General features: G+C 44.1%; 1 protein-coding gene and 1 long non-coding RNA gene across 10 annotated transcripts in view, besides 2 other annotated features; both read left to right on the top strand.

Annotated features, from left to right (window-relative positions):
- Window positions 1-25,912, top strand: part of SFMBT2 (Scm like with four mbt domains 2) — a 252,867-nt gene that overhangs the window by 37,649 nt on the left and 189,306 nt on the right. For 7 of the 9 annotated variants that reach the window (NM_001029880.3, NM_001387890.1, NM_001387889.1 and 4 more), the window contains exons 3-4: window positions 3,467-3,561; window positions 5,953-6,193. In NM_001029880.3, coding sequence (NP_001025051.1) covers window positions 3,467-3,561; window positions 5,953-6,193 — 336 coding nt within the window. Of the gene's footprint in view, window positions 1-3,466; window positions 3,562-5,952; window positions 6,194-8,326; window positions 8,619-25,912 lie in introns of those variants that run through there. The other 2 variants (XM_047425570.1, XM_006717490.2) reach the window with 1 other exon arrangement.
- Window positions 8,144-8,643: an enhancer, noted in NCBI's record as "H3K27ac hESC enhancer chr10:7407161-7407660 (GRCh37/hg19 assembly coordinates)". NCBI's record gives its function as "activates a minimal SCP1, AML or CMV promoter by ChIP-STARR-seq in naive H9 embryonic stem cells {active_cell/tissue: H9 hESC(naive)}" and the evidence as "EXISTENCE:reporter gene assay evidence [ECO:0000049][PMID:30033119]".
- Window positions 8,625-25,701, top strand: LOC124902372 (uncharacterized). The gene is made up of 2 exons (XR_007062049.1): window positions 8,625-15,605; window positions 15,682-25,701. It is a non-coding gene; the product is annotated as an uncharacterized LOC124902372 (long non-coding RNA).
- Window positions 10,734-11,933: an enhancer, noted in NCBI's record as "P300/CBP strongly-dependent group 1 enhancer chr10:7403871-7405070 (GRCh37/hg19 assembly coordinates)". NCBI's record gives its function as "activates an origin of replication core promoter dependent on BRD2, BRD4, P300/CBP, MED14 and CDK7 cofactors, with strong dependence on P300/CBP, by STARR-seq in HCT116 cells {active_cell/tissue: HCT116}" and the evidence as "EXISTENCE:reporter gene assay evidence [ECO:0000049][PMID:35650434]".

The raw sequence follows: 25,912 nt of genomic DNA, 5'->3' as shown, positions 1-25,912 counted from the left end.
TTCCCAGGTGCTCTTCTTCTTCCTCACACGCAGGTTCTGGGAGCTCAGTCCACTCTTCTCCTCTTCGCAGGTGGCCACGGCTTCCTGTGTCTTCCCTTTTCCTGCTTTTTTGGCTGTAGACTGTTTCAGGGTTCACCAACATGGAGAGACAGACTCATCACTTTGAAACCTCTCTAGGATTCTGCAGGAGACACGGGTGGTGGCAGTGGTGGTTTCTGGTGCATGATACAGGTGGGAGAAGGAGGGGGAAAGTACTTCATAAGAGCTCCAGCTTTGGACTCCTGACCCTGATGCTGGACAACAGTGGCTCAGGGTGATTCCCTGTCCTTTCTGAGCTCTCAAGATTGCCCCTGTGAGTATACATCCATCATCGTTCTTGGGAGGATTGTGAGGCAATACCTGTAAACCACTGTTTCATTCTGTTTCGTGTTCCTATAACAGAATACCCGAGTCTGCATAATTTATAAAGAAAAGGTTTATTCAACTCCTGATTCTGGTGGCTGCGAAGTCTATGACGGGCAGCTGCATCTGGTGAGGGCCTCAGGCTGTTCCCGCTCTTGGCAGAAAGAGGAAGGGGAGCAGGTGTGTGCAGAGAGATCACATGGAAAGAGGAAGCAAGAGAGTAACCAGGGTCTTAACAACCCACTCTCGAGGGAAGTCATCCATTCCTTCAAGAGCCAGAACTCACCCCTGAGGGAGGACATTAATCTAGTCATGAGGGATCTGCCCCCATGACCCAGATAGCCCCTGCTAGACCTCAGCTCCCAGCACTGCCACATTGGGAATCAGATTGCAACATGACTTTTGGTGGGGACAGACGACATTCAAATCATAGCAAGCCTTGTAGCACAGAAGTGACACTCGAACACAGCAGAGCTCTTAGGATGTGCCTGGGAGGGCGGTGGCTGCTTTGTAGAGCTGGAAGTTACTGACACAGGCTAGGGCAGGCAGGGGGCTGCAGGAGGGTCTGGTTCAAGCTGAGGCCAGACAAGGAGGATGGAAAGAAGCTCTGGACTTTGTCTGCAGCAAGTTTGCTATCCTTAGATACTGCATCAGGACGTTGGGGCAGAGCAATAGTGCTGAGCTGACGCCTCTGACTAGTGCATCGGAAAGCAAATTTGGTAAGAGGTGCCCAGTGCCGTTGGGAGGCAGGGGACTGTCAACAGAGCCATCAGGTACCACCCTGAGGTGTTTTCCAGGAGACGGCTGCTTTCTCTCTAGTTCACTTCGCTGTGTCTGTGACGCTCTAAACTTCTTGGTGTCATCCATTCTTCACTGGAGGCTGCAGGACCTGTTGACTTATTTTCTCAGGAAGTGCATTTCTGTTTGAAGGGCGTCAATCCCTGGGTGGGACCGAATGTTAGAGCACCACCAAGGAAAGGTTTTCTCTCCTGATAGCTTTTTCTTTTTCTTTTTTGGATGTTTGACTGTAAGTCACTTTATTGAAGCAAAAGTTGAGGAGGCCATTCTAAGCAACTTGGGCTTAGAAGGCAAAATTTAAAATAGCCTTTCAATTCAGCTCTTCTGACTTTACAAAAATGATCCTCTTCCCTCAATTTCTGAGAGTACACAAAGTATTAAGAGAGACTTACTTTTCCTACTTATAATTCAAAAATTTCAAGAAGGCCGGGCGTGGCGGCTCACGCCTGTAATCCCAGCACTTTGGGAGGCTGAGGAGGGAGGGTCACCTGAGGTCGGGAATTCGAGACCAGTCTGCCCAACATGGCGAAACCCCATCTCTACTAAAATTAGCTGGGCGTGGTGGTGCAAGCCTGTAATCCCAGCTACTCAGGAGGCTGAGGCAGGAGAATCACTTGAACCTGGGGGGTGGAGGTTGTAGTGAGCTGAGATCGCGCCACTGCACTCCAGCCTGGATGACAGAGCAAGACTCCATCTCAAAAAAAAAAAAAAAAAAAAAAAATTACAGGTGGACAAAAAGTAGTGATAGTCTCCAGAAGAAGGCATTCTTATTTGGCCCCATGTCCCCTGGCCTATCTGATAGGATCGGATATCAGTTCTCTACCAGCCACAAGATGGAAAGCAGTATTTACTCTTGGCCAGTGACACAGGCTCTTGTTTCTAGAAGATAAATGGGTTGAGCATCAGCATCCATTGGACATTATTGCAGGAAGATCATCTAAACTTTTGGAACTCTCGTGTGCATTTTGGACAGCTCTTTCTGTTGTATGTTCTTATCATGGCCTTGCCAATTGGTTCAAATAATGTTTACAGCTTATTATTTCCATTTAAAATGATGCCATCACATTTATGCCGTGTATATGTTAAAATGCATTATTTGATGCTTTTTGGCTATACAAGTTTTATCGTATATGTAGCCTTAAATGTTTGGGGAATTGCTTGATTTCCTTCAAGCCTGGGTGTGTGGATTTGTGAAATTCAAATAGTTATGATTCTGGCCGGGCATGGTGGCTCATGTCTGTAATCCTAGCACTTTGGGAGGCTGAGGCAGGTGGATCACCTGAGGTTCAGAGTTCGACACCAGCCTGGCCAACGTGTAGTGAAACTCTGTCTCTACTAAAAAATACAAAAATTTGTTGGGCGTGGTGATGCACGCCTTTAGTCCCAGCTACTTAGGAAGCTGAGGCAGGAGAATTGCTTGAACCCAGGAGGTGGAGGTTGTAGTGAGCCGAGATTGCACCACTGCACTCCAGCCTGGGTGACAGAGCAAGACTCTGTCTCTCAAAAAAACAAAACAAAAAACAAAATACCCCCCTACAAATAGTTACGATTTTAAGAGCCATGTTGTGCATTTGATTGTATTTCTCTTTATTCCTTGTGGTTGGAGAAACACATGCACTGTTGGTTTCTGCCGGAGTGTCGGGCCCCAACAGCTGTGTCCCGGCAGTAGGTAAGAGTTGGGAGCCTTGGACTGGCCAGGCGTCGGGAGTGTCAGGCAGCTGGTCGGTTTGTGTTGTTGACTGGCTGGGTGGCCCCACACACTCGAGCAATTCTTTGGGGCCTCATTTTCTCTTTTTCCCCTTAAAATGATGCCAGAGTCAGTGCTTTATCTTTATAACAATTAGTGCTGTTCTCTGTATACATCACAGCCTACATCACAGCCCTTGCTCAGCGCACGATGGGTTCCTTCGCCTTGTCCTCCAGCCTCCCTGCAGGCTGGGATGTCTACTGCAGCTAATTTCAAACTATTACACGAACATGTAGCAAATATGCGTTGGAACATGTCTCATGTTATTTACCCCAGAGAACCCAGTGTTACTCTTGATTTCATCAGTGCAGTCAAAGCGGAATGTCCCATGTTTTCCTTTCTTTAGTCAACACTTCTAAAATCAGCAGACTGAAGCTTTGCAAAAAATTCAGCAATATCCTTCTGAACTGTGGAATTAGCTTGTGTCTTGTATGAAGGATTTTCTGGTCTCAGTTGCAGGCCAGCACCTTTCTGTCCTCCACTCCAGTATTGATATTCTGTTCTTTTGTTTTTCAACAGAAGAAGGCTCAAGCTTGGAGGAAACTGGCTTTAACTGGGGAGAATATTTGGAAGAGACAGGAGCAAGTGCTGCTCCCCACACATCATTCAAACACGTATGTAAAGCAGCTTGTGTCTTCTCTGTGTCTAGAAAGTGGGAAGGGAAGGAATCTATAGGGAGAAGCCGGAGAACTCAATGGAAGAAGGGCAGAGGAAAGAGGGAAATTCGTGGCCAGGCATGGTGGCTCACACCTGTAATCCCAGCACTTTGGGAGGCTGAGGCTGAGACTGGCAAATCACTTGAATTGAGGAGTTCAAGACCAGCCTGGGAAACATGGCTAAATCCCATCCCTACAAAAAATATAAAAATTAGCTGGGTGTGGTGGTGCACGCCTGTAGTCCCAGCTACTTGGGGGGCCGAGGTGGGGAGGGTCACTTGAGCCCAGGAGGTGGAGATTGCAGTGAGCCAAGATTGCGCCACTGCACCCCAGCCTGGGTGATAGAGTGAAACCCTGTCTCAAACAAAAAGGCAAGATGGAAATTCAGCCAAGATTTCTTAGGAAGAAGGAGGAGACCTGGAAGTTAGCTTGGTTTCCCTGGATAGCTACAGGGAATATAGACCACAGGTAGGGTCAGCTTGAGTAAGTAAAGAGCTGGAAAACTAAACCAGTAGGTGTAATGTATTCTTAGTAGGTGTAATGGCTGTATGTTTTCAGCTTCAATTAATATTTTGATTTTGAAAAAGCTCATAAAAGATTTCCAGCCATTTATTGGCAGATGAGTCAGATTAGAGGAACTAACCATAAATATGATGAAAACATTTGGATCCAACCAAAAAAACCACTCTCATCAATAATGTTTCTTTGGATAATGCAAATAGCATGTCCAGCACTGGGCAAGTCCCAGAAAATTTTTAAAAAGTCAGTTTTTATCAGGTTTTCGCTTTGGTGTAAGATACTGGTAATGTATAATATCATTAGCAGGGAAAAGTCTAACTCACCTGGGTTCTAAGAAGTTGGGTCCTGGAAATTTAGTCTTTAATTTTTGTTTTAATAGAAATAGAAATGGAGATTTAACTCTGAGAAACATTTTTCACTTTGTCCATGCAGGGCAAAGATTCAGCCTGAGTTTCATCAGTAAATCGGGGCACTTTCTTAACCTGTTCTTCCTTTTGGCTCCTTGGCTGAATGAAGAAGCCAGAACTTTGATTCCTTATTTTTATTTATTTATTTTCTGTTAGCCAAGTCTCGCCATGTTGCCTGAGTTGGCCTCGAACTCCAGGCTCAAGCTATCCTCCTACTTCAGCCTCTCGAGTAGCTGAGATTACAGGCATGCATCACCATGCCCGATTTGATTCCTTATTTTAATACAACATTTTATTCTTTTTAGAGGTGAAGTGTTCTTTCCAAAAGGAATTTAAGATTTTTATTAAATTTCTGTGACCCTGAAAAGGTAGATCATGTTTCCATTTCTCTTTATACTCATCATGCTATATTTACTAGTTTATTATGAACGTGATTGTGGCTGTTTAGTAAAACCAAGAGCTAAATATTAAAACATAGCAAAGCTTTCAAGCATATGATGTGGTTATGGTCCCGCAAAAGCCATTGTAACATTTATATCTTAAGATGCTGAGATGATTTGGCAGTTGCCTTAGGCAGTTTAGGAAAGAGACATTGATCACAATTTTTCCTTCCTTTCTGTACTGAGAAGTTATCAATTTCTCTCTGTATGGAGTCACTCCTATTTTCTTTGATTCAGTCAATCCTTCCACCTCCCTTTTAATCACAATATAGTGTCCTGGGGGCCAGAGCTGGAGGCTGTCCTTCAGGCTGCAGAAGTCCCCAGGTCCGTATGCCAGGTTTAAAGGAAAAGTAGCCTCAGACCCATGCAAGTGTGATTGATAAGTCTGTCATCTCCTTTCAGCAGTGGCCACTTGCGGACAGCGGATATGTCAGCTTTGCAATGTTAAGACCCACCAGGCTGGAAAGCTTTTTCTGGGGTTGAGGGCTGGTAGATATCAACAGACTATCACCCTTAATTAAAAAACAACTCCATTTTCTAGGGCCATGTTGTTCATGGAATAGCCCCTATCATGTGGTCCTGTGAGTCCTTGAAAACCGTGTAGTCCACATTCAGATGTGCTCTGAGTGTAGAATACACACCAGGTTTTAGAGGCTTTATTCAAAAAGAAGACAGTTGGTTGTTTCATTAATGTTTTTTATATTGATTACATGTTGAGGTGATAATGTTTTGGATATATTGGGTTAAAATATATTGTTAGAATTAAATTTATTCTTTTTTGTTCTTAACGTGGCTGGCTGCAAATGTAAAGTTTAGCATTACGTTTGTGGCTTCCATAGTGTATTACTTAGATAAATACATGCCTGTTTTAGAGCAACAGGAATATTGTTTGTAAGTGCCATATTTTTTAGTGGTTTTTGTCATCTTCTGGATGTATTGTGTCTAGTGTAGTAATGGGTTTTCTCTATTTCTGATTCCTTAAGGTTGAAATCAGCATTCAGAGCAACTTCCAGCCAGGAATGAAATTGGAAGTGGCTAATAAGAACAACCCGGACACGTACTGGGTGGCCACGATCATTACCACGTGCGGGCAGCTGCTGCTTCTGCGCTACTGCGGTTACGGGGAGGACCGCAGGGCCGACTTCTGGTGTGACGTAGTCATCGCGGATTTGCACCCCGTGGGGTGGTGCACACAGAACAACAAGGTGTTGATGCCGCCGGACGGTGAGCCCCTGTTTCAAAGGCTTCGATTTACGAGCCGCCATCCTTCATGACGCCTGTAATTTTGCAAGGAGCAGAGAGAACCTTGCGTAGAATCCCTAATGGTCTTAGTGCAAAGGTCTCACAGTTCTTTCAGAGTGGTTTCTCAGGTTTCCTTAGCTGGAGGGAGATCAGTGCATTTTCAGATGTCAGAGCTGGTGCTGACAATGGAGCCAAACTTGGCTTTTCGGAACTGAAAGTATGCCTAATCCTTAAATTCCTTTTGGAGGGTAAGAAAGGAAGGCTGAAAGGACATCAGGAATTGGAGGGTAAGAAAGGAAGGCTGAAAGGACATCAGGAATTGGAGGGTAAGAAAGGAAGGCTGAAAGGACATCAGGAGTTGAGGTCTTGTGTTTGGTGATTGGCCATGTTGCTTTTCTTCTGCTTTAGCAAGTCGACATTTGAACAGTAACAGAGTGTCTTAAGCAGGCTTCTCTAATAACTTTTCATCTGTCTTGTTGGGAGACTGTCAGGGTGTCAAGCTTTTAGAAAACCATACAGCACTTGTGCCCTAAAACTTAAGGTATAATTAAAAAAAAAAAAAGAAAGAAAGAAAACCATACAGATGAGAGAAATGACATTGGTCTCAAGGGAGTGGTCAAAGCCCATATAGATATGATCAATTTAGTTGCTACAAAGCCACTATTCTCTCCGGGGGCAGTTTTACCCCCCAGGGGACACCTGGCAATATCTGGAGGCATTTTTGGTCAGGGCCATGGGAGTTGCTACTACCATTTAGTGGGTGGAGGCCAGCGATGATGCTAAACCCCCGCAATGCACAGGACAGCCCCATAACCAATAATTACCAGGCTCAGCCTGCCAGCAGTGCTGAGGGGGAGAAAGCCTGCTGGAAAAGAATGGGCTGGACATGATAAATGCATTGAAGGAATTCATCTGATCCCCTAAGTGAGAAAACTGAGGGCAGCTAATTACGTGAATCTCTACACCCCACTCTCTATGTTTTATTGTATGATAATGGCAGCAGCGATACTTGCAGGCTCTTGATGCCACCTTGCAAATGTGTGTGGTGTCCTCTTCGTAGCTAGCTGCCTGTTTTCATCTTGAAGTGACGTATAAACTTGGAGAGGTGAAATCCCCAGGTTCATTCTGTTTGTGGTATTAGCAGTTGCCTTACTTAGCCTTTCACGGTATCGGAGCTCTATCTTTTTTTTTTTTTTTTTGTTATGATATATTGTTTTTCTGATAATTTGGAATAGCCTGTGGTTTTTTAATTACCCTTTGTTAGGTGTAATTGATAGCCTGCTAAGAAGGGGGTCATAAAATGGCTGGAGTTAAGAGTTGCATTTATGTGACATTTGTCAGGATCGAACCCATTGCCATGGCGTTAGCTGACATTTTGACCCTTTATTGTCTCCAAAGAAAGAGAAAAAGGGTCTTCTTTCTTTCTTTCCTGCATTGGGTCTTTGCACCCGCTCTTTCCTATGCTGAGAACCTCCTTCCTTTCCGCATCCTCCTCCTGCTCCAGCTGTCAGCATAGCTCCCTCTTCCACCTGCACCAAGGTTGACACTGTCTGTGCTCATGGGCCAGGTCACACCCTATCTGCACCACGTGGCTGCCTGCGCCTTCAGTGTTCATCACGGTTGCAGTTGTACTATTCTTTTCTTTTCTTTTTTAAGATCTAATTGACGTGCCATAAAACTCACCACTTTAAAGTGTACAGTTCAGTGATTTTTTAGTATATTCACAAGGTTGTGCAACCATTATTACTATAATTCCAGAACATTTCTTTTATCACCTCCAAAGTCACTCCCCATTCTCCCCCTCCCCGGAAAACCCTTGGCAAACACTAATGCACTTTCTGTTTCTGTAGATTTTCCTATTCTGGGCATTTTACATGCATGGAATCCTATGCTGTGTGGCCTTTTGTGTTTGGTTTATTCTCTTAAGCATAGTGTCCTCAGGGCTCATCCCCATGGTAGCTTGTGTCAGAATTTCTTTCCTTTTTAAGGCTGAATCATATTCTCTGGCATGGACTGATCATATTTTGTTCTCCCTTCATCAGTGGGTGGACATTTAGAGGCAGCTGTTCTTCCACTTGGGTGGTTCTTTGAATGGAGTACACTTTATCCCCCCAGACAGTAAGCTGCATGGTGTGAACCCACTCGTCTGTGTACACCAGCTCTAGCACGTGCTGCCTGTGCTTGAGGAATTCTCAGTAAAGATTCACTGAGTAATCGAGTGATTTACTGAAGAAGGTAAAAGTGCGGCTTACATGGTCATCTGAAATAGCAAGGAAAAGAACAGTCATTGTTACGAAAGGAGGAAGCACGTGCGCTCTCCTTCACCTTTCCTCCTTGAGCTGCCAGTAGTGCTGTGTGCACCTTCTCTCTGGACATGCGAGCCTGGATTTCCAGCCTCTCTATTCAGGTGAGTGCTGGAGAATGGCTGTTCTTAAGTCAGGTTTTATTTTTAGTTCCCGCTCCAGCTCTGTGTACGCAAATCGCAGGGTCAGGAGGCACACCCTGGGAGGCACAGTGCATGCTCATGCTTTTGGTAACATCTGATTCACTCAGCCCCAGACCCAGCCTAAACAGGTCCTGAGGGAGATTGTTAGATCTGCCTTTGAATTAAAACCTCCACTGAGGTGAGAAGCTGTGGTGTAACGTTTGATTAATTTACCTATGATTTCTGATCCGTCGTGAAGTAAATCAGCCTTGATGGAGGAATTGTACTGATGGAATATTGAGGAAATGCCAGGTCTAGTTAGAGATTTAGAGACCTTCCCCCATCCCCAACTCTGCACGCAGGTGCCACACATTTGTGCCCCCTCACACTCAGGGGAGTTGCGTTCATGCCGGGGGCCGTGTACACACTTGGGGGCATCAAGAGAAGGGCACACAGAGGGGGCACATAGAGTGGGTGGGAGCCTCAGGCCCCATCCTTGTTGCCGACGGTTTTACCATCACATTCATGACTCACTCTTCAAGTTTAACACTTGAATCTTGAAAGGCCCTTGGAAAGGATGTAAGATGGTTTCATTTTGTAATAGCTTCTCTAGTGAATAGTTTTAGAGACAAGTTCTGGGGTCTTGAATCTGAATACTCTAAGAGCTAATGGGTTCATTTGGTAAAAATGTATGCTGTTGCTTGAGAAAGAGGGCAGAGTTTATTAATCAATTCTTCCTTCTCCCTCAGAAGACAAATGTGGCAGCAGTCACACACACTCTCAGAAACACCATCAAATTTGTATCCTACTGACTTTGCCACAGTCACACTTAAAATGACAAGTTCAAAAAGAAAAATGAGAACACCCTGGAAAAAGGGAAACCATAAATGTGATGGAAATACTTAAAGTCTTTTCAATTGTTAACAACTTATGCTAATTTGAGGAATTCTTCAGTGATATTTTTTAAAGAACTCAAAAACATTTAGTGGGTAATCAGTATGACTTGGAAATCTTTAATATGGAGAGCAGAGTCAGGAAATAGCAGGTTCATGGGGCAAGAAGTTTTATTGATCGCTGTAGGACAGAATAATTATTGCTTTGTAGCCAGAGGCGGCAGTTGTTCCGGAGGGAACAGTAGAATCTATTTTTTAAACAAGGATTCTTATTTGTGTGTTTTTTTTTCTGTCTTAGAGACCTGATATCATTGTAAATTCTGCAACCATACCTGGTCGATCTTTGCTGTGGTTAAACTTGAAAGGCACCGCAGAATATGAACAGGAGTTACAGCGATCCAGGGTGTATGATGTTTCTGTTTGGGAGGCTTCTTGGTGAGACGGAGATTTTCTTACTGATTCCAGGAGTCAGAGTGGTATAAAGGGAGGGGCCTGTGGCTGCAGCCCAAGATCTGAGTTCTTATCTTGCCTTTGCTATTAACTTAGCTCCATGGGTGAGTCCCCTTCTTGGGGTTCTCATCTTTGCATGAGGGGGGTATTAGTCTGTTCTCACACTGCTAATAAAGACATACCTGAGACTGGTAATTTATAAAGAAAAAGAGGTTTAGGCAGGGTGTGGTGGCTCACGCCTGTAATCACAGCACTTTGGGAGGCCGATGCGGGCGGATCACGAGGTCAGGCGTTCGAGACAAGCCTGGCCAACATGGTGAAACTCCGTCTCTACTAAAAATACAAAATTAGCTGGGCGTGGTGGCGCATGCCTGTAATCCCAGCTACTCGGCAGGCTGAGGCAGGAGAATTGTTTGAACCCAGGAGGCAAAGGTTGCCGTGAGCCGAGATCGCGCCACTGCACTCCAGCCTGGGCAACAGGGCGAGACTCCATCTAAAAAAAAAAAAAGAGGAGGTTTAATGGAGTCACAGTTCCACATGGCTGGGGAGGCCTCACAGTCATGGTAGAAGGCAAATTAGAAATGAGGAGCAAAGGCACGTCTTACATGGTGGCAGGCAAGAGAGCCTGTGCAGGGGAATTTCCCTTTATAAAACCATCAGATCTCTTGAGACTTACTATCCTGAGAATAGCGTGGGAAAAACCCGCCCCATGATTCTGTTACCACCCACTGGGTCCCTCCCACAACATGTGGGGAATTATGGGAGCTACAAATCAAGATGAGATTTGGGAGGGGACACTGCCAAACCATATCAAGGGGGTTGTGGTATAGAATCTCTAAAGAGCTTTCTAGTCTGAAATGTCTAGGTTTGTGACCCTTGTGAAGGAAGAAAGGAAGGAGGGTTTGGGTGCTAGTTTTCCTATATAATGCACGAGGAATGGAGTTTAGTTTGGAGTTAAGATCCATGGACGTCTAGCCCAGGAATCTGTCCAAAGCACAGACATCAAGTTTGTGAATTACTGTTGGAGGTGATGACAGTTTAACAGATTGTGAGACACTGTCATTAGGTCAGCAAGTTACGGTGTATGCCTGGGTAGAATTTTCCCCCATAAAGAATTGTAGACCCCAGTTCCCCATTGGAACCAGAGAACTGAGAGTTTTTAGCCCTTAGCTGAGTAATCAGCGGAAGCTGAGTCAAGTCAGTTGGTTGTGGATAACAGCCTGGGAATGTTTGGGAATTTTGCCCTTGTTTCATGGGGGAAGGGAGAGAATGCCTTTCCTTGTCAGATGGAGGTTGCAGAGCTCCAGATCTTCGAGGACACTTTGGGATTGTCCAAAGTAGTTTTCTAGTAACTGGAGTCACTGCATTGAAAGAAAGTGGTTTTATTATCTTAGATGATAGTTTTACAGAGCACTTAGGACCCTGTGCAGTCCCATGTTTTCTTGCATGGCTCTTTTAAATTAATGTAAGCTGTGAATTAATGCAAGCCATCATTAGTCTGTGAAATGGTACAAGGAAGGAGAAACAGCATGGCGGCAGCTCCAGGAGATGTCATCACTAGGGGATTCCCATCAGCAGGCAGAGCTCCATTAATAAAGACGCATTTAGAGACCTGGGCTCTGTGACCAATCGGCCGTTCAGAGCAGCGTTCCTGCTTGTGAGCTAATCAGGGCTAATCTTTCATATTAAAAGTATTAAGGAACATATGACATTAAAGCGTCACCCAGTGCCGCGGAGGATTATGGCTCTTATTAGTGGAGCAAAATGTAAAACGTTTTGGTTTAGTAAATCTATAAGGCTTGATTTATTCATAAGCGCATGCAATGCTTGCAAGGGGCAGCTGCCAAATAATTATTGTTTATGGTGAGAATGTATGGAAATCATTTAATCCAGTGACGACTTCATTGTTATTTATTGAAAAGCAGTGACATTACCTCTTAATGTCTGGGGCTGGGGAGCTTTGGAGATTTAGTCGGTGCCTGCCGAGCCCCCAAAAAGATGCTCGTGGAAGATTGCAGGTAAGTATGTGTGATGATGTGGCTCCAAATAACACCCCTTGGCTTGTAAATGGAGACGTATTTATGAGTGCTTTCTACTGTTGCCATAAAAGTGTTGGAATTATAGTGCCTTAGGAGTCATGCTGCTAATTTTTATTTTCCCCGTTATTAAAATTTCTGTCATTTGAATTGCGTACTCTGCAGTCTTGGCAGAATTACTCAATTTACCATTCAAAGTTAAATCAAAATTAGTGGAGTTAGTTAATATACAACTCATTTGAATAAAGGAATGTTTATTCATGAAGTGTGAGGAGAAAGTGTGAAGATGGCCTTATGTTTATGTGGGCAGCTCCTGCCAAGTTTTAAAGCCTGGTTTTAGGAACGTTTTTGGGAATTGCCATTTTTACTGTAGTTGATTGTAGAGGACAAGATGCTGGCAGGTGGCACATGGGACAGGAAAGTGACTAGACAAGCAGGACTTACCCAGCTGTGACATGGCTCAACTGTGGACTCCAAAAAGTAGAATTAGGTTGTGTTTTTATGAGACTGACCCTTTTTAAAATTTATATTTTATAATGTAAATGACATTTCAGTAATATTAAGGGAACTTAAACAATCACATTATTTTCTTTGGTTATCTGACATTGTAACTGGAGTTCCATTTGTTTATCAATAAGAAAATTTAGTATATATGCTAAAAACTCATAATGAATCCTAACTGGGCACCCAGGCTTGAGGGAAGCAGAGAGACACTCATTAAATATTAGATAGCTTAGTAATAAGAGAGCAGAACACATTGGTATAAGAAAGGGTAGGATTATTTGACAAGTATGTCTGTAAATAAACCAAAAGTCATAGTTAGATATTTTATTAAAAAATGTTTAAATATTCTAAAAGTTTTAAATAAATATTTTAAAAAGTGAGTTAGTATTGTATTGTCAAAAAGCCATTTTTGATGATGGTGTGTGAAAGAGGGAACATTCAGGTAGGAAACAAAGTAACCCTTTCTCAATAGGCACTGAATGGACCTTTTACAACAATTCCCATGGTTTTGAATTCTATCTGATCAAGTAGAGAGTCTGTGTACACATTCATCATGGTGTAGACCAGGATGGGCTTGGCTTGTAGATGTGTGTGACAGAGAGAGTAGGTATGTATGTGTTTGTAACTTTTGGTGTAAACAGTATTTAATTTTAATATCTATCATTTACACATCACATCATAAAAGAGTCCTGCTGTGAATCAAAACCCTTCATATAGGTAATGGCAAATAACTCTTTGTTTATGAGTAAAAAATGAATAGTTTTTTTTTCCCCCCAGAAATCCGTGTTTGGTGTTTGTATTTGTTTTTCACTACTCACAATATGCCACACACTCTCTTTTTTATTTTTATTTTTTTGAGACAGGGTCTCATTCTGTCTTCCAGTCTGGAATGTAGTGGCGTAATTTTGGCTCACTGCAACCTCTGCCTCCCGGGGTCAAGCTATCCTTCTACCTCAGCCTCATGAGTAGCTGGAACTACAGGCACGCACCACCATGCCTAGCTAATTTTGTATTTTCGTAGAGATGGGGGTCTTCCTGTGTTGCCCAGGCTAGTCTCGAATTCCTGAGCTCAAATGATCTTTCCACCTTGGCCTCCCAGAGTGCTGGGGTTACAGGCGTGAGCCAGTGTGCCTGGCCCCACACACTCTCTTTGGTCATCTTGAACAGTGAATGAATGAATCACGAATTTCATTCTGTTTGTGTCATAGCTCTCCAATTAGAAGATACTTTTGTGTGCACCTCCTGTGGTACCAGGTAACGACGTTTAATCCTGTCAATCCTCAGAACATCCTTTTGAAGTGGCTGGTATTATTCTTATTTCATAGTTGAAGAAAGTGTGTTTGTTCCCAGATCAGGCAGTTTGAAGTAGATTTTAAGCTAAGAGGATTCTGGCCAGTTCTGAAATCGATGCTTTGAAAATAGCAGGAGGTCTGTAAATATTTGTTTATTGATTAGATTATATCATTAAGACTTTAGATTAAAATGGTCAGACTGAATATCACTGAGAAAAGTTGTAGAGTTGGTTTCTTGGTGATTTTTAAGAGTAGGGTAGAAAGCTGCTGTCCAGAATATTTTCCAATTTGTCTTTTTTGGCGGCAAATAAGTGGAAGAGATGTGGTCTGGAAGTTCTTTGCCGAATGGTAACCATGAGATTATGTAAAGTTATGTAAATTGCATCAGATGCTATTTGGGTTTTTCTGCGCTACATGAAAACCGTAAGCATGAAGCAGTGACTAGAAGGTTTTCCTTTTTAGTGCTAGTCATAAATGAATTTATTTTCTCCTGCTTCTCAACCCAGCAACATATGTAATTTAAGTCAAGCATGTGTTTGATTCTGAGTGGAATTCGAGGGGGGAGTTGGTGCTGTGTGTTTCCATGGCCTCGTGGCTCATTTTTGCTTCCGTGTTAACTCCTTCACTTCCATAATTGTCAGAGCCTCCAACTCATCTGGCCTCTCCCTCCCTTGGTGCCCCACCTCCCCTTGTAAGGATCCTGGCCCTGGCCTGCTCCAGATGCAGCTCAGATGATCACGGCCTCGGGTGCATGGAGGGCTCAGCTCCCATCTGGCCCCGTTCCTGCTCTGGGTGGACCTTTGAACGTCCTGAATGATCCTTGGGTTTCACTTGTATGGGAAGCCCCGTGGCAGCTTTACACAGACAAGGCCCCCGGGCACAGCTCGGCCTGCAGGATGTCTGGCTGCTCCAGGCTTGACCCTGCCTCGTTGACCTCCCTTTATTCCCCCTCCACCTCCACCTGTTCACTCTTCTTCGTGCCACTGACCGTCCTCTAGTTTGTTGGACTGGGGAGCTTCTCCCACTGTGCTCGCAGCTCTGGCCTCCTATCCAAGCCTCTGACTCCCCTGCTGCTTCTTATTAAGTCTTCTCTCATGGCTCCATATTTCAGGGCATACCTCCATTCTAGGGCCATGCAGATGTTCTAGGGACATGCTGATGTCCCAGGGGTATGCAGATGTTCTAGGGCCATGCCTCCATTGCAGGGCCACCATGCCTCCATTCCAGGGCCACCATGCCTCCATTCCAGGGCCATGCAGATGTTCTAGGGCCATGCTGATGTCTCAGGGCCATGCAGATGTTCAAGAGCCATGCCTTCATTCCAGAGCCACCATGCCTCCATTCCAGGGCCAAGTAGATGTTCTAGCGCCATGCTGATGTCCCAGGGCCATGCTGATGTTCTAGAGCCGTGCCTCCATTCCAGGGCCATGCAGATGTTCTAGGGCCATGCAGATGTTCTAGAACCATGCCTCCCTTCCATGGCCATACAGATGTTCTCGGGCCATGCCTCTGTTCCAGGGCCATGCAGGTGTTCTAGGGCCATGCCGGTGTTCTAGGGCAATGCCTCCATTCCAGGGCCATGCAGATGTTCTAGGGCCATGCAGATGTTCTAGGGCCATGTTGATGTCACAGGGCCATGCAGATGTTCTAGGGCCATGCAGATGTTCTAGGGCCATGTTGATGTCACAGGGCCATGCAGATGTTCTAGGGCCATGCAGATGTTCCATGGCCATGCAGATGTTCTAGGGCCATGTTGATGTCACAGGGCCATGCAGGTGTTCTAGGGCCATGCAGGTGTTCTAGGGCAGTGCCTCCATTCCAGGGCCATGCAGATGTTCTAGGGCCATGTTGAGGTCACAGGGCCATGCAGATGTTCCAGGGCCATGTTGATGTCACAGGGCCATGCAGATGTTCTAGGGCCATGGTGATGTCACAGGGCCATGCAGATGTTCTAGGCCCATGCAGATGTTCTAGGGCCATGTTGATGTCACTGGGCCATGCAGATGTTCTAGGGCCATGTTGATGTCACAGGGCCATGCAGGTGTTCTAGAGCCATGCCTCCATTCATTCCGGGGCCATGCTGATGTCCCAGGGCCATGCTGGGTTCCATTGGGTTTCACTCCAGGGCTGTGCCAACATTCCAGAGCCATACCAACGGTCGTGCCTCCAACTCGAGTCCTTAGGTTCTGCCGGTCATTAGGGAGAGTCTGCCTTTTTGAGCCTGGCTCTCAGGGAATGGTTGGTTTGTGCAAAGCTTGTCTCCTGAGTCTAGAATCATGTTAAAGCTTGGTGAGTACGACCTTCAGTTCAAAGTCTTGGGAACTTAGATGGTTCCCAAGGATTATTCAGAGGTTAATTTGGAATTGTTTTAGTCAGGGTTTTCCATAGAAATAGACCTGATAGGGTCAGTACATACATAGCAAGAAATTTTATGTTTAGGAACATGTGATTGTGGATGACCAGTGAGCCCAAAATCTGATGGGGAAGATCTGTAGGCTGGAAACTTAGGAAAGAGCTGCAGTTTGAGTCTGAAGCAGGGGGAGCCAGTGTTGCAGATGAAGTCCGAAGGCTGCCTGCTGGAGAATCCCCTCGGGCTTTGGGGAGGTCAGCCTTTCAATCTATTTGGGCCTTCGACTGATTTGATGAGGCCCACCCACAAGCAAGAGGATGATCTGCTGGTCAGTGTGTACTTATTTAAATGTTAGTCGCATCCAACAACACCTTCACAGAACCACCCAGAGTAATGTGTGACCAGATGTCTTGTCTGGGCACCGTGGCCCAGCCAAGTTGATGCATAAAATTAACCCTGCCAGGCGTGGATTCAGAGCTAGAGCTGAATCGCCCACTTGCTCTCCCCTGGCGTCATCTTAATGCCTTCTGGAGAGGCAGAACATTTTGTGTACACTTGGAATCACTGTGCTACTTTGCCCTAACAGACAATGTTCAGTTGATATTTCTGAATATAGATGCCCTTAACAGAAAGCTCTGGTAGGAATTCGAGAGATTGCGAAGTAAATGCATGGATTATCTTTAATGCTGTGAAAGTATAAATGTCAGAGTGGCAGGTCAGAGAGTCTCTTGAAAACCAATACGAAGTGGGTAGGAAGAAGAGGCAGAGACATTTCACCCACTTTTTAGGCTCACTGCCTGCTGCTCAGCAGGGCCACCATGATTTATCTGAATTCTGTGTCAATTTCCATAACTGCATATCACTCTACAGGTACCCACTGGGATTACTTACAAGAGATTTTGCTAATGAGGATGTACTTCCGGGTACAGGGTTCTGTGGCATGCATTTAAAAAGGCAGTAGCTGGCTGGGCGCCGTGGCTCACACCTGTAATGTAATTCCAGCACTTTGGGAAGCCAAGGAGGGAGGATCACTTGAGGCCAGGAGTTTAAGACCAGCCTGGCCAACATGGTGAAATGCTGTCTCTATTAAAAATACAAAAATTAGCCAGGCGTGGTGGCACATGCCTGTAATCCCTACTTGGGAGGCTGAGGCAGGAGAGTTGCTTGAACCCGGGAGGCGGAGGTTGCAGTGAGCCAAGATCATGCCACTGCACTCCATCCTGGGTGAGGGAGCGAGACTCCATCTCAAACAAAACAAAACAAAACAAAACAACAACAACAACAAAACGCAGTAGCTAGTGTGCCTTCATCATGGGTTGCCTTGAACTCCTTTGAAATCCTGCATCTTAATCACTATATGGCCTGTCCTCAACCCCAGGAAAAAAACGAACACATGAGCAGCCTTTGAGGTTAGCATTACACTTCCACGAGGATGAGAGGGGCCTCCAGCCTGGGGTGTGCCTTTTAGAGAACGCAGAGAATCACATGCACAGACAACCATGTGTATTCAAGAGTACGGAGATGCCTCTCCCTCGGATCCTGTTTTCAGGACTGGTCTCCAGCACCCTGTACCTACACATCAGGCTCAAATGGAGAAATTCTCTGCATCTCTTGTGCCCTTGGGAAAAAAGACCTGTGTCCGAATGCTGTGATTTTGTGAGTTGTGGTGTTGCCACTGTCAGAGTAAGAGATAAATTAATGGTCAAATTACTTCTTTCAGAAAGCACAAATATAATAAATTTTTTACAGAGTGAAGAATCACTTTGCAATAGTTCTGAGCAGTTTCTATTCTGGAAGAAATTAGTACAGAATTTCCAACAGTTGTATACATTGACTGGGGCTTCATTATTTATTTATTTATTTATTTTTGAGACAGAGTTGCACCTTGTCGCCCAGGCTGGAGAGCAGTGGCTCTATCTCGGCTTACTGCAGCCTCTGCCTCCTGGGTTCAAGCAGTTCTCTGCCTCAGCCTTCTGAATAACTGGGATTACAGGCGCCCGCCACCACGCCCAGCTAATTTTTTTGTATTTTTAATAGAGAAGGGGTTTCACTATCTTAGCCAGGCTGGTCTTGAACTCCTGATCTTGTGATCCAGCCGCCTCGGCCTCCCAAAGGGCTGGGGTTACAGACATGAACAAAATTAACTTTGTTTTACAAAATGAAAATGAAATATTTTACCATACAAATTCACACTGTTCTCACATATGGGAATCTGGAACCCTAGACGTGACATGGATGAAGCCGATGTTGACTTTTTACATTGGCAACTGAGTGAATGTTGAATGCTAGAACTGTGGATAGTTTTATTTCTTTATAAACATGCTTAATGAGATTCAGTGCTGAAAAAATAGATAAAATATTTAATTTTATTTTAATATTTTAAATTAAAATGTTTGATATTCACTAATTTTAATTTGCATTTCCCTATTAATTTTAGTAGACACTTTAGAAAGAGTAGGAGGACATTTGGAATCGTAGGACACTTAGAAGGAAAATAGCATTTTTGAACAAAATGATTAAAAAATTTGAATTTAGCATTTTCTTCAGTTTACGTATTTTGATGAAAAGAATTAAGATGAAGTAGACTGGGTATAGTGATATTTTATCTTTTAATCTGTTAGGTGATTTCTGTGACTAGAACATAAATTATGTGAAAATCTAGATTTTTAACTAAATAGTTAATTTTGCTGAAAGGAAGGCCAAATAGATAAAGATAAAATCATTTATGACTTACGTCTTTATCTGATTACTCATCCAAACATTGCTGGCCCATCAGCAGAACACCCAGACTCATGTTCTCATAATTGAATTTAGTCATCTCTGGCTTTTGGCCAACTTTCTGTCTTCTGTGCTCTAGTGCTTTTCCAGACTTTTTGATTGACATTATGAAGATATATTTGTCAGTGAAGGAGGACAGGGCATACTTTACTTAAAAGCCTGTTTGCTTGATTAATAACTTGTAAATCTTAAACATGTGCTACGTGAGCTACATTTGTATTTGCACTTGGTGTGTCTGGGCCTGTTTTAGGGTTCAGATACAGCCCCTGTGAACTAGAAGTCTTTCTAAGGATGATTTGGGCACGCGTGGATTTAGGGAGCCAGTTTCTACATCCACCAGGCCTGTCTCTTCCATGAGACTGATCTGCCTGAGAATAGACCAGTGCCGTCCTTTCCCACCTGTCCCGTCTTCTCTCCCACTCTTTCCTCTCCTACGTTGGTTGAGAAGGATGTCACCAACTGAGGTATCGAGATCTCATGCCCACTATGCCAGCCGTGACATGCAGACACACCAGTTTATCTTTTTATGTTTACTCATGACACTGCCACGTTATTCGTGTTATTTTGATCAAGACTAATGACAATTTTAATCATCTAAGCCAAAAGAAAATTTTTCTCTTATGGTCAAAGAAATTTTTTAAAAAGTTGAATTATATACTGCCTACTTTTTGTTGTTGTTGCAGAGAAATTGGATAGGATAAACAATACGAGACTGTTGGGATAAGAGTCTGGGGCATATAGGCTGCTGTTAAAGTAGTACTTATGTATATTTTTATTTATTTATTTTTTTGTTTTATTTATATTTTTTTTTTTTTGGAGAGGGAGTCTCGCTCTGTCACCCAGGCTGGAGTGCAGTAGCGTGATCTCGGCTCACTGCAACCTCCAACTCCCGGGTTCGAGCGATTCTCCTGCCTCAGCCTCCCAAGTAGCTGAGATTACACGCACGCACCACCACACCCAGCTAATTTTTTGTATATTTAGTAGAGAAAGGGTTTCACTATGTTGCACAGGCTGGTCTCGAACTGCTGACCTCAGGTGATCCGCCTACCTCGGCCTCCCAAAGTGCTGGGATTATAGGCATGAGCCACTGTGCCTGGCCTATTATGTATAATTTTAAATGTAGGATGGAAGGTATCAGATCATTTACTGAATATATTTATGGGAGTAATATAGGAGTTTTATTCCAAATGTCAGAGTTGCAGTACACAGGAAATTACATCCTTTGTGATGATTGAAATGAATGAAACATTTCTCAACGCCAAATTGAAAATGCATGATGGGAGGACATGAGTTCTTCAAGATTCTTGTATGGGGGGTATATGAACAAGAAAGCTTGAGGACCAGTTTTCACAAATGGTACTCAACCATAGCCCTTCTCATTTACCCATTAAGATGTTTTTTTTTTTTTTCTTTATGATTTAGATGCTTAGATGTTCTTAGGGCTTTGGAAGGATTTATCATAATTGAGCATTTGCTGAGTTTCTGTTTCCGTCATTGGATTCCTTTGGTAATATATTTGCAAGTCTTTCTCTGAGTTCTTTGCTAATAGGAAAACAAGAGCTGACAGGAAGATCTTGGGTGGATGGGTAAAAATGGCTACTGGCTGTTGATTTGGTCCACTGTATCACCACATTACTGTTGACATAGTAATGGAAACACTTTAATATCAATCAGTGCATATTGGGGTTCTATTCTGTGCCTGGTGTTTTTTGGGTGGGAATATATGATACGGTTGTTATTAAGCATTTTATATTGAAGCACACTGGTAATATAGTCAACTTTTGGCCAATAGTGTGTACTCAGTGATGAACTCAATTTTGGCAAAGGGTGTCTTCTGTGGTGGCCCCCAGTGTACTTATTTTATTTATTTATTTATTTATTTTTATTTATTTTGAGATGGAGTCTCACTGTGTCACCCAGGCTGGAGTGTAGTGGCACGATCTCGGCTCACTGCAAGCCCCACCTCCTGGGTTCACACCATTCTCCTGCCTCACCTCCCGAGTAGCTGGAACTACAGGTGCCCACCATCACGCCTGGCTAATTTTTAGTATTTTTAGTAGAGACAGGGTTTCACCATGTTAGCCAGGATAGTCTTGATCTCCTGACCTTGTGATCTGCCTGCCCCGGCCTCCCAAAGTGCTGGGATTACAGGCGTGAGCCACCACGCCCGGCCCCAGTGTACTTATTTATTTGTTGGCCATTTCTGCCCTGCTGTTGACTGTTTCACTCCTTGGCTTAGCAAGAGGTGTTGGGAGCTGATTTGAAACTCTAATCTCTGGAGGCATGGGGAATATGACTCCTCTATTCTGGGTGGGGACTTCTCTGAGATAGCATTTCTTTTCTTTTGAGTTTAAAAATGTGTCTGTCTAAGCCTGGGCAACATAGCAAGACACCATTTCTAAGAAAAAAAAAATTAACCAGGTGTGGTGGTGCATGCCTGTAGTCCCAGCTACTCAGGAGGCTGAAGCAGGAGGACTGCTTGAGCTCAGGAGGTCGAGGCTGCAGTGAGCTGTGATTGCACCACTGTACTCCCACCTGGGTGACAGAGTGAGACCCTGTCTCAAAATATCTTTATGCTATACATTTTTAGAGGTCTGTTCAACAGCTATGGAAACTTCCAAGAGCCAGGCACTGACCTGACCCTGGCACCTGGAGCGTCCCTTCTGGGAGAATCCGCCTGTGGATGAATAGAAAGGCCCCTGCTCTCTGCTGGTATTGAAATAAAACACTGGCATCTCTGGAACTGAGTTATGTCTAGTAAGTGGCTCCTCCGACCAGTATACGGGGTGGGAAGTGTTGGTGTGAGTCACCTGGCCTGAGCTAGGGCCTCAGGCCTGCCTAGCACTGAAAGGAGCCCAGAAAAAAGCGACTTCAGAAAAAAGCGACTTCATCTGCTTGCATCACACTGTCCTCATCTTCACCGTGACAAACTGACACAATCTTGCTCTCGGTTTGATGGCAAACGCTCTCTGTAACCTGTCATGTGGAAAGTTCCCTCCTCATCAGATATATATATATATATTTTTTTTTTTACAGGTAAGAGGCTTTAATAGGCCTTGACAAAGGGCCGTATGAGTGGAGAAGTATCTGCGCCCTAATAGCAGGGCACTTGAAATACAGCCACACGGGTACAGTGTCTTTCCCTTAGCCAGTAGCTCCTCACTCGGCCACGTCCACTGTCCAGAATACTGTCGAAGAGTTGCCTTTTTACCCCCTGTGAGCTCAGAGAATTTTGATCATACTTGCCTGTGCTATATAATTGTTTATGTATAACTGATCTCAGCCATTTGCTTATGAAAGTAAGGCTGCGTGAATGTTTTGTTTTCAGAAATACACATTTTGGATCCTAATGCCACCACTTAATTAAACGTGCGAACCTGGGCTAGGTATTTTCTCTCTCAACTTTGTGACCTGCAGTATTCCCATATGTAAACTGGAGATAATGAGACCTGCCTTACAGGATCGTTTTGTGCATTAAATGGGATTTGTGTAAACTCCTTAGAGCAGTGCTAAGAATGAAGGTGGTAATGAGAAATGCAGTTTTTATCCATCCTCATTCTTCTGGTTAAGGATGGTATTTTATTCACCTTTTGATTTCTTATAATGCCTTGCACATAGTTAAAGCTCAGCAGTTGTTAAATGAATAAGGAACAAAGCCCCCATGAAAAAACAACAACACACAAAACTAATTAGTACTAGTGTATGTGTGTTATTCACTGGAGAGCCTTTTCAAATCCTACCACATTCAGAGACAACAATCACATTACTTGATTTTGAAGCCCAGCACATGTTGGAAGCAGAAAATTAGAAGCATGAGAAGACAGCTGTTAGTCATGCATATTGATATCACAAATAAATCCTAGTGGGCCACCCAATTGCAAGGAAGGAGGTAGAGGAGCTGGGAAAAGTGGTATCAACAGTAGAGCAATCTAATGCCTTTTACCAGAGGAGCGGATAGCCCCATCCACAGATCCAGAGGGTGTGTGGCTACTACCAAGGGAATTGCCAGCCATTGCATAGTAAAGCAGAATAATTGATTTATGGCACTCAATCCTCCAAAAAGTTGTAAATTTCTTTGGTGTCTACCAAGTAGGTGGCAACAGCAAAGGCTAACCTCAGGGGGATTTGCACAGGAGGAAAAACAAGATTGTAAAAACCTGCTGTTCTAGGAGTTGAAATGTATTATTATTATGGCTATGGTAGAACTCTTCTCTTCTTTGTCATGCAGACTTAAAGTATAAAACAGTCTTTATTCCAGCTTGTTAAAAGTGGGAATGCCGTAAACCAACACAGTGAGCCTGGAGCAATGACAAGCTACACAAAAATTAAACATATTTGTATTTCAAGATGTAGCGAGCTGTCGTGGCCAGTTCATGGCCACTTTGGGAAGACATTTATTAGGAGGAAGCAAGATGGCACTAAAGCGTGGGAGAGGACAGAAGCTGGAGCCGTCATGGGTGCAGAATAAGGCTGGCCCGGAAGAGTGGCTGGGTGGGGTCACACCTGGTAGTTCAGATATCTTTTGCTATCGATTTTCTAATTTTCTAAGATGAAGTGTTAATGTCCCAGCGTGTGGATGGTGCCTCCGGATGGACAATTCAGGTTGCATGCCCCAGACCTCGTGATTGGGACTGGCCAGAACAGACAAGACCCCATCAGCAGGATGGACAAGACCCCATCAGCGGGATGGACCCCATGGAAAAAAAAAAAATCTAGGAACTAAGACACGATTGGGCAGGAGGCTGGGAAACTTACTAGGAAGGATCAAGGTTGACTTTGCCACCATGACCTAGCCACGAACACGATGGGAAGAAGGCTGTGGAGTGGGGCTGTGGGCAGTGCCTCCCGGGGCCCTGAATGAAGCAAGCTTGGAGAGGGAGCTGGTGTGTGGGTCTGAGTGGCTTCTTTAATGTCAGCATGCGCCTATGAGGTGCTGACGTAGCCTTATTGCCTCTTTGAGAGTTGGCTTCCCATAGGGACATCCTAGACACTGGAAGATTTTTGCATCGGCATCTTCAGTCCATCAAATACTGTCCTTGAAATCCCACTGTCCTCAGTTGGTGATGGACAGGGGACAGACATTTGTGGTCTCATGCTGAGGGTCTTAGGAAGGCAAGAGGTGGATAAAAGAGTCAGGGATTGAGGGCCGGGCACGGTGGCTCACACCTGTAATCCCAGCACTTTGGGAGGCCGAGACAGGCAGATCACCCTAGGTCAGGAGTTTGAGACCAGCCTGCCCAATATGGCAAAACCCCGTCTCCATTAAAAATACAAAAAATTAGCTGGGTGTGGTGGCGGGCACCTGTAATCCTAGCTAGTCGAGAGGCTGAGGCAGGAGAATTGCATGAACCTGGGAGGTGGAGGTTGCAGTGAACTGAGATCATGCCACTGCACTCCAGCCTGGGAGACAAGAGCAAAACTCCGTCTCCCCCCCGCAAAAAAAAAAAAAAAAAAAAAAAAAAGAAAAGAAAAGAAAAAAGAGTCAGGGCTTGAAAGTGAGAGGATCCAAACTGCATCCTGTCCTGCCCACAGGGTGTTCTGTCCACCTTAAGTTTGACATGGTGGTTCTGAACCAAGCCTGAGACTGTGTTGGGATGAAATTCCTGGGGGCTGTAGAGTTGGGCAGTCTGTGCTGAGCATTCCATCACACGTGCCATTCCACACCATTTGGAGATCGAGCAGAACAGGTTTGATTGATGCCGGGTCATTTTGTTTTAGATCATTTTCACATTTATGATCTCTGGGATTATGGAAGAGGTCTGTGATTCTTGTGATTTCAAGAGAGGGGATTTAAAAATGGATAGGGAGGTTTGTCACAGATTCATGAGACCTGGGAGTGAGAAGGAAAGCGGAGTCAGAGAGGTGGAGAATGGGTGGGTGACCATCCTTGACCTGGGATCTCTGTGACCAGGACTCTCTCCATTTCTCATCCAAATGTCCTTTTTGGAGGTCTCATCCTTGTCATGGTGGTGACAAGACATGGAACTTACCACTTCTGAGGACTTGAACACCCTGAGAGCCTGAGGCTGCAGAAATGACCGTGGCAGGTTCCCTGCCATTCACGGAAACTGAAATGTGCCAAAGAGCTTATATCCAAGCCAAACAGCGTTTGTATTGGAGAAGTTGCCTTTCTCTCAAAAAGGATGGATAGGAAGCAGTTTTTAAAAAAAATCTGCCTGCTTTCTGAAGATGAACACAAATCTGGTTACATCCAACAGAAGATAGAATGATTATACAACATGAGGCTTAAATGTTTGTCTTTTAAAATGTTCTTAGGTTATGCAGCAAGAGTTTACAGTAGCCAACCTGTATTTCCAAGGAGATTTAATCAGAGGAAGTATCAAAGAATTGAAGATTAGTATGATTTTGAAGGTTTTCCTAATTATTTTTCTGATGATCTCTTCTCAACTAACAGAGCTGTTAAGTAGAGTTGATTAAACAATGTCAATTTTTTGAAAAGCCCTTAATGACATATTTACACAGTAGTTATGAAGAGCCCCCCAAAGCCCATCATGGATTATAGGAGCAAGTTATAGCCATTAAAACCATCTGTGATTATTTTTTTGTAGTAGAGAGTGATGTCAAGCCATCAGCTTCTGTTCAACATATTTCTTAGAAAAGGATGTCTCAAAACTTCTTCGAGACCGTCACGAAATGAAACAACTCCCCGATCCCACACGAACCTCTCCCACCACCCTCAAACATAAACCAACCCAAACCCTTTGAAAAGCTCCAAAGAAAATAAAATGTTTTTAGAACTTCTTTTCTTGTTCAAATGTTTGATTGACTCGTAGAGATGAAGGGATGATGATGATTTATATGCCGGGTGTACTGTTATTTGGAGTAATGTTTCATTAGATTTGTTTTGTGAAATGAAGAAAGCAGTATGTACTTTACATTTTTCATCTCTACATCTAATGTGCAATTTGTTAGCCCATCAAAATTAATTTTAGATCCCAAATGGATCTTTAGA

This window comes from Homo sapiens, chromosome 10, assembly GCF_000001405.40.
Source record: "Homo sapiens chromosome 10, GRCh38.p14 Primary Assembly".
In the NCBI taxonomy this organism is placed as follows: domain Eukaryota; kingdom Metazoa; phylum Chordata; class Mammalia; order Primates; family Hominidae; genus Homo; species Homo sapiens.
The sequence above is the reverse complement of the archived record's forward strand: the minus strand, read 5'-3'. Positions and strand labels throughout refer to the sequence as shown.